This window comes from Homo sapiens, chromosome 8 (assembly GCF_000001405.40).
Source record: "Homo sapiens chromosome 8, GRCh38.p14 Primary Assembly".
Lineage (NCBI taxonomy): Eukaryota > Metazoa > Chordata > Mammalia > Primates > Hominidae > Homo > Homo sapiens.
The window spans coordinates 136,996,553-137,012,344 of record NC_000008.11 but is presented as its reverse complement, the minus strand read 5'-3'; positions in this window follow the sequence as shown (position 1 = coordinate 137,012,344).

Below are 15,792 nucleotides of genomic sequence, written 5' to 3'. Positions count from 1 at the left end.
GCTTTTCCCCCTTTTGCTCTGCACTTCTCCTCGCTGCCACCATGTTAAGAGGGATGTGTTTTCTTCCCCTTCCACCATGGTTGTAAGTTTCCTGAGCCAACCCAGCCCTGTAGAACTGTAAGTCAATAAAACCTCTTTCCTTTATAAATTACCCAGTCTTGGATATGTCTTTAATAGTAGCATGAGAATGGACTAATACACAGCACTACTGCACCAGTCACCCAAAAAGCCAAGATCTCACGACATTTTATCTTTCACAAATACAAAAGTACAAAAAGGACTTATCTTCATCTACCAAACAAGTGTCAATGTTTCTGTATTCACATGCTATGCTTACACACAAAGTCAACATTGTGATAATGCATTTTCGTGGAGTCTCTTTTGAAAAAAAATACATATAATGAATTATAATTCTCCAAAACTTTTAAAACAATTTATACCCTAATTACTGGAAATGATGAGAAGATGATATATACAGCACAGTGAAGCATGAAACAATAGTGGTAATCAATGTAAAATATTTTTAAAAATCAGCAAAAACAAAAAGAAGGATCTAGAAAAGAAAATAAAACAACAACTCAAAAACCTAAAACAAAAATTGACATGTGAAAAAACATATTGTAGAAATAGATTACGGGCAATTGCACAGAGACAGTCCATAAGAGCTGGCCATCTTTCACGAACATTACCTATATTTTGAAATCTTGAATCACAGGGAGTAGCAATTTTTTTTTTTTTCCTTTTAAGACATTCATTTTCTACTAGGCAGTGCTGTTGCTGTTTGAAATTCTTCAATGATTCAGTATACACTTACATAAGAATTGCTTATTTAATTTTCCCACTGTGCCATGCTTCTATGTTTTGGGGGCATATGTGGACATCTATTCCAAATGCATTCACATACAAACCACAAATTTGGTAGAAACAATATTGGTAATTGAGTGACCACACCATTGCTCAACTGTCTTTTTTTTCTACTATGCACATAATTATTTTAGAGCCAGTTAGTAACTTCACTGTTTTATTCAAGCAAATATGGCTTTAATTCATTGAAAACTCCTGGAATGTCATAACCTGGAAAAAATTCCACTGCAGACAAATAGCACATTTTTAAACTTAAGTTTTCATCCTTGCCATATCATATTGGCTTCCAAACATGTGAATTTTTGTCAAATGTATTGAGATAAATGAACAAAACAAATTTTATTGGTAATACCTTGAAATTCACTTTTAGAAGCCTTGATTGCACTTTACTTCAAATCTGTCATTGTGGCTTGGGAATTCAATTAAAATCCATTTTCTTCTGCATGAAGACAATAACAAGATAATAGTTGTACATAACATTTTGCAACTATCCTATAATTGTAATTTTCAGTATTTAAGATGTTAGATATTTTAGACTTTAAGGATTTAGACTTTTGGTATTATGGTGTTTGAGGTTGTGTCCTTTGGGATTATGAGGCAAACCCTATGTATGGAAACAATTAGTTCAGCTGGTCGTTTATAAAAGAAGAATGAAAATTTGGAGTGTTTGTATCTGGCCTTATCATAGGTAAACAAGATGTTCACCTTCGAATCCCATCCTTCTATGCTAGGTGTAGTCCTTAATTTATCCTCAGTGATTTTGCTGAAAGGATAGAACATGATTATTCAATCCAGATTTTTTTTTTTACTTATTGTCTTCGTAAACGTGCTTAAATATCCAAGCCCTTTAGGAGCCACTTTTCTCTTCTGTGTATTATGAATAATATCACTTACCTGAAATGGTCATATGAATAAGTAACAGTATCCTTTACATTACGACATTTATTAAATACCAGTAGTTTTGTAATAGAGAGGAATGTCTCCCTGCCTGGTGTCTCCACCTTGTACGTAAGAGTTAGCAAGTAGTTCAGACTTCCAGGAGAAGATGGTCTATGGATAGTAAAATAATAAATTCAGGAAAAAAAAAACTGACCTTCTGATCAAAAGTCCTGAGTTATAGTACCAGTGCTACCTAATCTTTACCATGTGGTCCTAAACTCATCAAATAACCTGAGAAATAAAATCTACTTTGCTGTCCTTAAAGGGACAGGATTTTAAGGGAATCAAACACATTTAAAGTAAAATTTTATTCATCTTAAATTTGCTAATATAAATGTCATCGATATTATTTTGCATCAAAAAGGCTAATTTCTTTCTTTATTTTGACAAAGAATCATTTGATTTTTTAAAGCAAGTAACTCCCTATTAAAAAGCAGCAATTTATGCAGGAAAAAATGCATGCTACTGTCCCCTATGACTCTTTCAGCAAAAACATTGCTTGTTTTCTCCAATTGGGCTAATTGATTTTAAGCAATTAATCAGTGCAAGTAACATGTAACTAGTTATTTAGCTTACTATCCAGTGCTGCTCCCTTGAGAGCCATTAGAATGTGAATTTACATCCTTTGATAAAGAAGTAATGGCAGAAGAAGACCAAAGATTTTATATTTTTAGAGAAAATGAAGCTGCAGAAAGGAGAGCTTCAGCAAATGGATTCTGAGAACTGGTTATTTGGAAGTAATTTATGCCACTTTCTTATTATACAAGTTTAGGAAATAAAGTAACTATCAATAATTTTAAAAAACATCTGTAATCTTACTACTTATCACTACAACTAATGATTTTATATATTCTGTTCTAAATTTACATGCATCCACATACCCAAACACACACACGTTTCCACATCCAAAATGTATTAATCTGTACAGCATATGTAGCTTGAGTGGCCATGGTGCACACCTGGGAACACAAAAGTTCATAGTATGTGATTTCTTGAACAGTAATGGGAAAGACAAATATTAATTATATAGTTACCCAAATAGATACTCAATCACAAAGAGATAGTTGACCTACACGAAATATATACATTACTTAGGCCATATCACAAAGAAATTTGACTCAGGACACCAAGAAATTTTTCCTGAGAAAGCAATATTTTGAACTGGTACCTAAAAGATGAAAAAGGGATTAACCTATATGAATGGTAAAAGAAGTGAGGGCTGATACAGTAGTTTTATAAGATTCAGCCATAGCATTAGGCAGGAACCAGACCATGAAGCTGCTGTGGACAATACTAAGACACCTAGCCTGGATCCCCAAAGCAATGGGAACCACTGAATTGTTTCCAGCAGAGGAGACATCCACAGTTTTAATGGTTTCAATGTGGAAAATATATTGCACTATATCCTATAAATATATACAAATATAATTTGTCAAAATATAATAAATAAAAAATAAATGGCACAAAATACATGACCAAAAAATGGAGTAGGGAGATCAAATTGTCATAGCACAGTAGAGTTATTAAGTATCTTCATCTGGAGCAAAATAAAGATATGGTAAATAGGATTAGGTGAACTGAGGAGAGATTGCAAATACCACAGAGGTCTTGGTAACAGAATAAGCATGAGGAGGAAGGAAGAGAAAAGTGTTAGAGAAGGCCCTTGGGTCACCAAGTAGGTGGATTGAGTGATATTCAGCGATAACAAGCACCAGACAAAACCCATATGATAGCAGAGGAGAGTCAGAGGAGCATCAGTTAGCGTTGGGTGTGCTGAGTCTGTGATGCCTTTAAGACCTCTGTATGAAGTACTCAATTACGGAGTTGGAACTAGAACTAGGAAAACTGACTGGGATAGCAATATGAATTTGGGTACCATTCCAAAAAGATAGGTTTTGAAAATTTTAACATTGATATTGTTGTCTAAGAGAGAGAGAAATTAATAAGAAAGCTTTATGGGATAATGGACAAAGGATATAGCTGAGACATTTACAAAAGGATAATATGAAAGAGCTAATAAGAATATCATGATATGTCCAACTCCACTGTAATTTAAAAAATGAATATTAATACATAAGTGAAATTCCTTTTTATATCCATCATAATACCAAATAATTAGACAGCGGGATAAAATCAAATGTTGGTGAAGATACAGAGAGACAGACACTTCTTTGAAATTAGAAATTACACATATTTCTGGCTATCAATCAAGTACCAGTTAGTGAATTCCAGTCCGAGTGTGTTCCATAAATGAGAAATCTCACTCCTGCATATATGTATTCTGAGAAACCCCCACTGGTCCATTAGAGAACTTCTATGAGGAAACTGTTCTGTTGCTTTTCATAGCAAGGACTCCGTGACAATTTACCTGTTCAACTCACCTGTTCAATACTGGGGGAGCTTATAAGTAAAATTCATCGACATCACTATGGAATACTCTGCAGCAGTCAGAAGCAACAAACCAGATGTGCATTTGACCATATGCATGAATCTTAAAGATTGGTATTGGGTAAAACTGGTAGTTTGAAAAGGGCTGAGGAAATAAAGCATATTAAAAGACAAACAGTAATCAAAAATGTCAGGCACTACTGAGAAGTAAGACGAATTCTGAAGTATGCTCAGTGAATCTGGTGCTGTGAACCACTGACACAACATTCACCACATTGGGAGCTATTTCAGTGAAGTGACTGAAGTAGAAGTCAAAGTAGAATGATTTGAAGAATAAATGAAAACAAGGAGTCTGTTTGCTGGAGCAGAATATGAAGCTGAAATAAATTGTGTTGTTGTTCTTTTAAGATTGGAGATGTTTAGGTGAAAATTCCTGATGGAAGGACCCATATGAGAGAACAATAGCAGAGAGGGAAAATTGCAGGAACGTTCAGATGAAAGGTTTCAGCATGCTGTGTATGCTATGCAGGAAGTATTGCCTATCCCCAGGAATTCTCTGTATATTTGAATCCATGAGCAGTTATTTCAGCAATAAAGTGAAAATGATTGGCTTTTTATTGTAATTATTTATTTTGTTTCTGTCTTTGTGAACAAGTACGAGGAAAAGAGATGGAACTTAGCTCCAATAAAATTGAGGGTTTGAATTCTGTCCTTAATTAATTAACATTGTGGCCTTGAGGATTCCTCCTTACATCAGCTTTCTCATCCATAGATGTGAATAAAATGCTATTTTCCCACAGGATGATACAGAAAGTTAGGTGAGTTAATGAATATTACATACTTAGAAGATTACCTGCAACATAGTACATATTGAATAAAATATAATTGTACAGTTCTCAAAAAAGCATCTGTTCCAAAGCTGGCAGAAACTCTGCTTGGATAAGTCCTATTGAAAGTCAAAGCTTTACTGGTGATTAAGGATCTCTCAAGAATAATTTTGACAATACTTAGTTTTTATTTTAAGAGCTGGCAAAATACTTAAATACTTGCATGTATTCTGGCTTTTAGAAGTTGCAAATCTTCACATTTAGGTTTTTATATCACTCCAAGTTTTTTCCTCTTAGCAAAAGCATAAATAAATGCAGAATAAAGGCTGTGTTAATTAGATATGCATATCAAAAACTTTGAGACTTTAGGAAAAGTTGGAATTATTCTCAAAAGGGCCACTTAGGCATGAGGAGGCACCGAGAGGACTTGGAAAGATGATAAGGGATTACAATTAGTGGAACAAAACAATGAAGCCTATACGTGTCATGCTTTTTAGTCTCATGTCCTTTGTGAGAAAGTACTCTGCTTCTGCATTTTAGAGCTATGCAAGTTTCTGTGAGATGTACACCTCTGAAGCTGAATGTTCTGACAACACTTGTAAGAGGTTGAGATAGTAAAGGAAAACTGGCCTAAGAATCGCAGGAACACTGATGTTGAGCAGTGGGGGTCCTGGACTGGGGATGTTGCCTGTTGGCCATGATGGGACAGATGTAGAATTAAGAATCATCACATAATAGAGAATATTTCCACGGCTAAAGCATCAACAAAGAATTGCCTAAAATGAAGAAGCATCCTGAGGAGCATTAAACCTTTGAAGTAGACATGTGGGCTTTGATGAGATAGAATTCCAGCAGGTGGAAATAAGAGGGAGCCTTATACATTTTACAACTTATACTCTTAGCTTTATCCCTAGACTTACAAGCCACGAGAAACACTGTTACAATAAGTACGCGACTTGTCAAGAAGAAACAACACATCTCAGATGCATACCAAATTACCCTGCTGCTGACTGCTATTATTTAGGATTCATCCCATGGTTAAAAACTCCCATTATAATGAACCTTGAAACAAAATAAATAATGACATCTCAGCTCCCCTTAAAATATGTCAGCCAAGTACATTTTGGAATCCAATACTCTAATTTATTACTTATTAATTTGTAGAAAGTCATTAGTTGTGATGGGTTTTCCTAAAGTTCATGTTATTTAATATGCCCAAACTAGATAATTTTATCATTATATTTTGAACTAGCTTGAAAAAGAGCTGAATTGCAGGATTTCAGAGGGGACTTATGACCAGATGTTGGTAAAGGTATGTGAGACAATAGCAGCACCCATTTTGGCTCCTGTATTTGAGTGTATGACTTTTTTAGGAATCTCCATCTCTGTCAATGAAATGTAAGATCTGTAAGATCTATGAGAAGAAAAACCAGCTTTGTTTCTTTGATCATAGTTGCATTCCTAATCCTAGTGCAGTATCCTAGTGCAGTATCTTAGTTATCAAATAAGTAATATTTTAATTAAAAATGAAATGAATTAAAAGCAAAAACCAAACTTATTTCATAAAGCTTTAAATTTCTGAGGGGATAGAGATAGCAGGGAGAGGACAGTGAGATTTCAAGGAGTTAAATGCTTGTTTTAAGTTAAGCATGGAGCTAGAGAGGCATAGACTATGAGATGATGGGAATAAGAATGATCAATATCTTGAAGAGTTACTAGGTGAGATTTCAAGCAATTTATTCTTATTGGGATCTCTGACATGCAAGCTATAATGTAATAAAATAAGCTAAACAGTATTCATAATAGTTGATCTATTATTTTTGATGTATTATAACTTTCATTTAGCACTGCATTATTTTCAGTATAACTATTAAATCAAATAAAGTAAAAACTGCCAGTGGTTTACTTAACAAAAGTTTATTTCTTTTTTAAATAACTCAAAAATGCTGTTTTTTTTCTGATTAGCAGGTCACTGTTCTCTCCATGATGACTCTGGGATCCTGTGGTTCTGCCTACCTAGGGCTTTGGAATCCTCTCCATCTAGCAGGCAGAGGGGGCAAATGCATGGGAAAGCTACACCTGCTTCTTAAAATGATGGTCCCTAAAAGGACATGGGCTTATGCTCACATTCTTTTGACTAGAACTCATACATGGCCAGAGACAACTGCAAAGAGAATGGAGAAATGTTGTTTAGGGTGAGCACGAAGCCTAATGCCATGAACACAACGAATAGGTAAATATATTTTATCTATTATTTTATTATTACACTTAATGATTATTAAGCAATTGTCCCCTAGATTGTCAGGGTTGGAGGCCTGAGTCCATCTTTCCATTGTCTTTGCAACTTCAATATGTCATATGAGCCTGTTGTGGCAGAGACCACTAGATGCCCACCAAAGTCTCCTTTATTTGTTTTTTTCTTGGACACACAGCTACATTTACATTCTCCAGCTTCCTTTGCAGGTAGCTGTAGCTACCTGCAGTAGTACATTAACTACTCCTCTCCAGCAACAATGTGAAGGGAAATCATTTGTGCTATTTTATGGCCATGAAAGTAAAACAAAACAAATAAAAACAAAATCTTGCATGGTACTCCTCCATTAAATTCCAATTCCAACTGACTGAAGGTTTGATGGACAGGATGACCTTAGGAGCCACTTGGTGAAGGTAGGAAAGCAGCTATTGACCTCAATCTGTGAATAAGTTCTTAGGAGCTGGAAGCTTCCCTGGACTATTAAATGAAAAATAAATCAAGTTCTTCTTCTTTAAGCATCTAAAATTTTGGGCTTATTTGCTACTGTTACTTGGACTATACTAACTCATACAGCATGACGACGATAGAAGGCTATTGGGTCACACAGTTGGGCACATAGAATTTGGAGACAGACATGAGGCCTCATTTACTTGCTGGAGATTGACCTTTCATAAGCAACAGAGCTGAATATTAAACACAGTTTTGCCCATTACCAAATCTGTTGATCCTTCCTCTGTACATTACTGCCTCTCATATGCCTGTAGTTTCTCTTATACCATGGTTTCCCACGAGACACCCTTGGTGTCTTTTGGCATTGTCATAGAGAAAAATATGATTCTGTTGCTAACTTAAGCTGTTGTTATGGGCAGAACCAATATTTAGTTTTCTGGTCTTACTTGTGAGATTCTCATTCAAAACTTCAAAGGTTGAAGTGTGGGCAGCTGGCATGTTTTATGTCTCTTCAATTTTATACTTGATAGAAAAATTTTACTGCTACTGAAAAAGTCAGAGGGCATGTGGCTAATATTTATAGCTTTTGTTATGCAAGTGCATAAATGGTAATTTTGCTAATAATTTAAAGCAAGATGCTAGTTTAAAAACTATGGAACACCTTGAAATAAATGGTGTTTCCCTGAAATGCCCCAACTACTGAATAAGTAACTCACCATGAATAAGTTATTTTCCTAAGTAAATTAGGAGAGAAATCCAATTTAATTCTATTTATTCAATAAATATTTATTTAGGGTTAAGTAAGACCACTTGAAAAAGAGAGCGGAATAATGAATTATTTCTGCTTGAAGAAATACAAATTTTAGGAGGTAGTATAAGAACGTTTTAAGCACATAGAGCTTAACTTGCCTATGGCCTTTCGAGGAAGCATGCATGGTAGCATTGTGTGGGTTACAGCGATGCAGACCAGGAAATCCTGGAGGAAGAAGCTAGATTTAGAGATGTAAGCAGGTGACAGTGCTATAGAATGAAGACAGATAATTCCAGATCAAGGGAACAATTAAAACAAAGACATGGTGAAGGGAAAAGAGTATGAGATTTTCTTAGGAAAAATCAAGAAGTTTGATTGTCTTAAGGGCATGACACGTGTAAGAGGAATGGGGAGACAAGATGACTTTAAAAGTTTGTTGTCAAAAAAAAAAATGAAGGCTCATGAATTCCATCCCGAAATGTTTTGAATTATAGTTTGATAGTGTGGAGGGTTCACTTAGCATGTTGAGGATGGAGTCAATGTAAATGGAAGTATATACATATATCTCATATATATATATATGTATATATAGTCTATAAGATAAATATATCATATATTTCTTATATGTCTTATATAGAGTCTATAAGATATATTTATCTTATAGACTATTTATTTTTGAGCTTTCTGATATATTGATGCTGGGCATGAATGAAGAGTAATAAAGATAGCAGGATATCAAATGGAATACCATAGAATATAAGATCACCAATAAAACATAAAAGAAGCACTTTCTAGATTAAAAATGAAGTTTATCATTTTGAAATGATTCATTGCATCTCTCCAGAAAAACATTCATACTCCAACTCCTCCATGGACTATAGGTTTTGTACTACTGAGGGAAAGCTGAATTTGGAAAGTGGAATGTGAAATGATGAATATTAAATAGATGAAGATTTCAAGTTCTAATTTTCATAGTATATTTTTTCTAGCCATCCATCATACCATCAATGGCATACCCGACTAGATGAACTGAATCATGCTGTAGTAACAAAAGATAGTGAGGTTCTTAGAGATTTATTGGAAAAATAACTTCCCTCCTCCTCCAAAAAATACCCTTGACTCTGAGACTCATTTCTCCACTCAGATGTTTTTACACTATATTTGAGAGCCATGCACTGATTTAGTTCTAGCCAAAGGCCTTTTCTCAGTTTTATATTTTATTGCTCTTGTTGAGAAGCAGTCACCTCTTGCAACTCTGCAAGTCCTCACATTTCTGGTTTACTTTTATTTCCTTTTCATGATTCAAGCCAAGCCAAGCCTTTTCTCAACTCATCTTTTTCTTATAATAACTTGTCAAATACGATCAATAGGAACTATCACACTGTATTATGTTTTAATTTCATTTCTTTTCCCTAGAGTTAATACTTTATGAGGAAAGAAACTACACTAAAACTCCAGTTTTAGACCCTGTTTTGAACAAGGCATAAGCCCATTTTTTTCTTGCCTCTCTGCTAAGCATAGCTATAAAAATAGCACAAGAGAAAACTAAAGAAGAAGGCTAAAATGTGCTAAGAATGTAAGCTGTTTTGAGACTTGAGAAGGGGAAGAGGATAACAACAGCAGGATCCCCCCACTCCAGACCCTCTAATTTAGAAGAGAAGGTGGCCCAGGTAGGCTTATTCTTCTGCCAGATTGACCATGAGTCCTTCTGACAGCATGTGAGTCTCACGCCACCACTAAGGGAAGAGTGAGTGAGTGAGTGGGAGCTTTGCCAGAATTAAGTGGCCAGGAGAGTTCGTCTCTTTCCATGCTGTGTCTAAGGCTCATCTTTTCCACTGAGAGACACGTAGGCAGCCTGCCTGATGGAATTGGAAACAATCCCCAGCCACAGCAAGTGCTCTGACATAGCAATCTTTCTTTTCCCTAGGAGCCTGAGACCCTCCTGAAACCAAGTCATGGAGGTAGCTAGGATATGCCAAATGGGAGATCCCACAACAGTCCTCACTCACTAAGGGATACCTGGAGAAATTGGCCTTGACAACATCAGCAGTAATCAATGGGAGCCCCAGCAGAAGGAACAGACAAACCAAGCAAGCCAACACAGCAGTGAAGAAGCTCCGTAAATTTAATTGCCTTTGAAACACAGCCCACAGAGTTAGGTGAAGACCCGCATGCTAAACTTAAATAGGGTGAATGCTGACTTAAATAAACTATATAAATAGACCCACAGTCTCCTACCACAATAGGCAAAATGTTCAGGATACAATTCAAAATAATTAGATATATCAAAATTCAGGAAAATTGCAACTTCAGTGGCAAAAAAAATAAATGGATGCCAGCACTGAGATAAATCAGATATTGAATAGATTTAATAAGAAATTAATGAGAGGCATCAAAATAGTGTTTGAATAATCCATTACAAATTCTTTTGCAACAAATAAGAATACATAGAAAAAAAATCAAGAAAGAAATTGAGATCTAAAAAATAACAAATGGAAATTATTGAACTAAAAAAATAAATAACCAAACCAAAGCAAAACAATCTTCTCTGGCTGAATTCATGAATAAAGGTCAAATGGCAGAGGATTCAATTAGTAACCATGAAGATGAAATAACACAACAGAGAAAATAACGAATAAAGCCTAAAGGATCTATGGGATACTAAGATCCAGTATTTATATCATCAGAGTCCCATAAGAAAATGAGAAATTAAAAGAGAATGAAAGAGTATTTGAAACAATATTTTGTACAAATCTTTCAGCTTTGGTGAAATAAACAAACATACAGATTCCAAAGGTTGGGCAAACTCCAAACAGAAAAGTTTATAATAATAAATATATGTGCACAAAATATATATTCCTAAAGCAACAGACCATGAAATACATAAACAATCTCATAGAGTTGAAAAGATAAATAGACAAATCTACAATTATATTTGGGGACTTCAACACACTCGCAAAAACAAGAGAACTACTAGCAAATATGTAGAAGGTCTGAATAACATAATCGACCAACAGTGTCTAACTGGTGTATATAGTACAATCTACTCAACAAAAGCAAAATACACTTTTTTATTCAAACAATTATGGAAAATTAATCAAGATAGACAATATTCTAGGCCATAAAACAAACCTAAACATTTTTAAAAGATTTAAAATGATGCACAGTTGATGAGAATGTAAAGTTGTACAACCACTACGGAAACCAGTGTGGAGTTTCCTTAAAGATCTAAAAGTATATCTACCATTTGATCCAGCAGTTCCACTCCTGCATAGCTACCGCAAGGTTATTACACAAAAGTCATTATATGAAAAAGATATTTGCACACACATGTCTATAGCAGCAAAATTCTCAATTGCACAAATATGGAACCCGTCCAAATGCCCAACAATCGATGAGTGAATAAAGAAAATGTGATATATGTATATATATATGTATATATACACACACACACCATGGAAGACTACTTAGCCATAAAAAGGAACAAAATAATGGCATTTGTAGCAACCTGGATGGAATTGGAGACCATTATTCTAAGTGAAATAACTCAGGAATGGAAAACCAAACATCATATGTTCTCACTCATAGGTGGAAGATAAGCTATGAGTATGCAAAGGCATAAGAATGATATGGTGTACTCTGGGGACTTAGGGGAAAGTGTGGGAAGAGTGTGAGGGATAAAAGACTACATATTGGGTACAGTGTATAATGCTCAGGTGATAGGGTGCATCAAAATCTCATAAATCACCACAAAAGAACGTATTCATGTAACCAAACACTACATGTTCCATAGAAACCTATTGAAATAAACAAAAAATGTATTGTACATTTTTAAACAAATAAATAAAATGTTGCAGAGTAAGCTCTCTTACAATAATTGAATCAAACTATAAATATATAACATAAAGAAAACAGAAAAACATCTCTAAACATGGAAACATTAAACAACACCCTTCTAGATACTCCCCTGGCCAGAGAGTAAGTCTCAAAGGAAATTTTAAAAATATATATTACTGAATGAGAACATAATATATCAAAATTTGTGGGACTTGGTTAAAGAGCAATTGAGAGAAAAACTTATAGCACTGAATGCCTGCATTGAAAATGAGGAAAAGTCTCAAATCAATAACCTATGTATCTACCTCAGGAAACTTGACAAAGAATGGAAACGTAAACTCAAAGCTATAATGAAGGAAATATAGATAGGAACAAACTCACTGAAATTGAAAATAAGAAGCAATAAAAATAATAAACAAAACAGCTAGCTTATCAATAAAATTAATAAACCTCTATTAATTTTATCAATACAATTAATAAGACTAATAAAATAAGAGAAGATACAATTTCCCAAGAATCAAAATAATATTGTGTATCACTACATATCTTGCATCCATTCAAAAGATTGTAAGAAAATATTACAAACAATTTTATGCTCATAAATCTGAAAACTTAGAAGAAAGGAAGTGACTCGTCAAAGACTACAAGCCACCAAACTCAACCAAGATGAAATAGACAGTCTTAGACGCTCTATAAAGATAATTTTGCAAAATGTAAAAAAAATTAAAAAGAATCACCATGAATATTGAGCAATTTTTTCCAGAAAGTGTAAGAAAGAACACTTCCCAAATCATTTTATGAGACTAGTATTACCTTGATAACAATATCAGACAAAGACAGTACAATAATGAACTGTACACCAATATCTTGTGACTTTAGACACAAAGGTCTTGAATATAATATGAGCCAATTGAATGATAAATGTGTAAAAAGAATTATACACTATAGCCAATTAGTATTTATTCCAGGGATGCAAGGCTGTTTTAACATCTGAACAACAGTCAATACAATCCATCATTTAAACATGGTAAAGAAGAAAAATCATTTGATCATATTAATTGTCAAAAGCCAACAGCAATTCATAACAAAACTCTTGTTTTAATTAATAAACTTAATTTTTGGAGCTGATTTAGGTTCACAGCAAAATTGATTTGGAAAGTACAGAGTTCACGTATATCTCCTGTCCCCATGAAAGCACAACCTCTTCCACTATCAGCATCATGCACCAGAATGGTACATTTGTTACAACTGATGAACCCACGTTGACACATCACATAATACAACTATTAGGGAAATAAGAGTAGAGCAGAGTTACCTCAATTTGATTACAGAGCATCTACAAAAACGCTAGAGCTAACATACTTAATGGTGAAAGACAATGATTTTCCCCTAAGATTGGGACAAAGGCAAGATATTTACTCTCATGAAGTTGATTCAACATCATCCTGGAAGTTGGTTCTAGTTTGTAATATAAAGCAAGAAGAGGAAATACAGGACATACAAATTGAAATAGAAAAAAAAAGTTGTCCCATTTATAGATGGCATAATTGTCTATAGAGGAAATTCTGAAGAATCCACCGAAACTTCATAGAACTAATCAGTCAGTTGAGTTAGGTCACAGGATTCAAGATCAACCACAAAACAATTAATCACATTTTTATGTTCTAACAATGAACCTGCTGTGTAGAAAGTAAAAATAACACTATGGAATTCACAACTGCTCAGCAGAAAATTAACTACTTAAGTATACACTTAGCAAAACATACATGCTGAAACTTACAGAAAGCTGATTGAAAAAATCAAAGACTTACAATAAATGGAGACAGACACAATAATCAGGGATTACAAGACTCTACATAACTAAGATTTCAATTCTGCACAGTTAATCTATAGATTTAGTGCAATTTCTGTCAAAATCTAAACAAGATTTTTTATAGGTATAGATAAACTTATTTAAAAATTCACATAGAAACACAAAGGCCCCATAATAGCTAAGACAATCTTGACAAAAAAAGTAGAATAAATTATTCTATTGTAATTACGCTTACTATAAAACTATAGTGATCACGTAAAATGTGATATTGGCAAAGGAATAGGCACACAGTTTGCTGGAACAGAAGACCTGGTAATAGACCCACAAAAATATGCTGAACTTGTTTTTGACAAAAGTACAAATTCAATTTAATGGAGAAAGGATAGCCTGAGGCAATTGGTTCTATGTAGGAAAAATAAAAAGTAAAAAGAAAAAAAGAGAACCTAAAACTCAGAAGTTAGACAAAACTTAAAATAGATTACAGAAAATGTAAAACAAAAAGTACAACTATAAAGCATTTAGAAATAAAGAAGAGGAAATCTAAAGGATATAGAATTAGGCAAATAATTTTTAGACTTGACATTCAGTGCACAATCTATTAAAGAAAAAATGAAATATTGGGCCTTATCAAAATTAAACACTTTTACTTCATAAAAGTACATGTGAAAAAATATGAAAAGATAAACTACAGTTTGAGAGAAAAGGTTTGCAAACAACATACCTAAAATGTATAAAACATTTTCAATTCTTAACAGTAACAAATTTTATAAAAACATAATTTGAAAGTGGACAAAATACATGAACAGTAGTTTCATCAAAGAAGACATACAGATGACAAATGAAGTCACAAAATATTGCTCAACATTATTATTCATTTGGGAAATGCAAATTAAAATACAAATTACATATTGATGGCTGCCTACTCAGAATGTGTAAGATAAAAAATGGTGACACCTTTAAACATTGGCAAGTGTGCAGAGATACTGGATCATTCTAAACATTTGGTAGTTTCTAAAACAAACAAAAAATACCTGAAGATACAACCAACATATGACCTAGCAAATGCTCTCTGGGGCATTTATCCCGCAGAAATGAAAACTTCCATTTGTAGAAAATACTGCATATGTACATTTATAGAAGCTTTACTTGTAATAGTCAAAATCTGTTTCCAGCCTGATGTCCTTGAACAGATGAATGGTCAAAAAAAACTGTGGTACATCCATATTATGGAATATTACTTAGCAACAAAATGTAACTATAGATATGCATAACAGTTTGGATGGATCTCTGGGGAATTATTTTGAGTGAAAATTCTTATAGGTTCCATATATATTTTCATTTGAAATGACAAAACTGTAGAAACAGAAGCCAGGTTAGTAATTGCTAGAGATTGGAGGAAGAGAGTTTGAAGGGAGTGAGTGTAATTATGAAAAAGCATCATAAGGGATTCTTATGACATTGTATTGTTCAGTATCTTTACTGTGGGAGTAGATATAGGAACATAAGCAGGTGATAAAATTGTAAAGAATTGAATGCATAAACAAAAGAGTAAAACTGGGGAAATCAGAATAAAATGAATATATTCTATATCTGTCAATATCTTCATTTTGATATTTTGCTATAAGTTTGCAAAATGTTGTGATGGAAGAAACTGGGTAAAATGTATAAA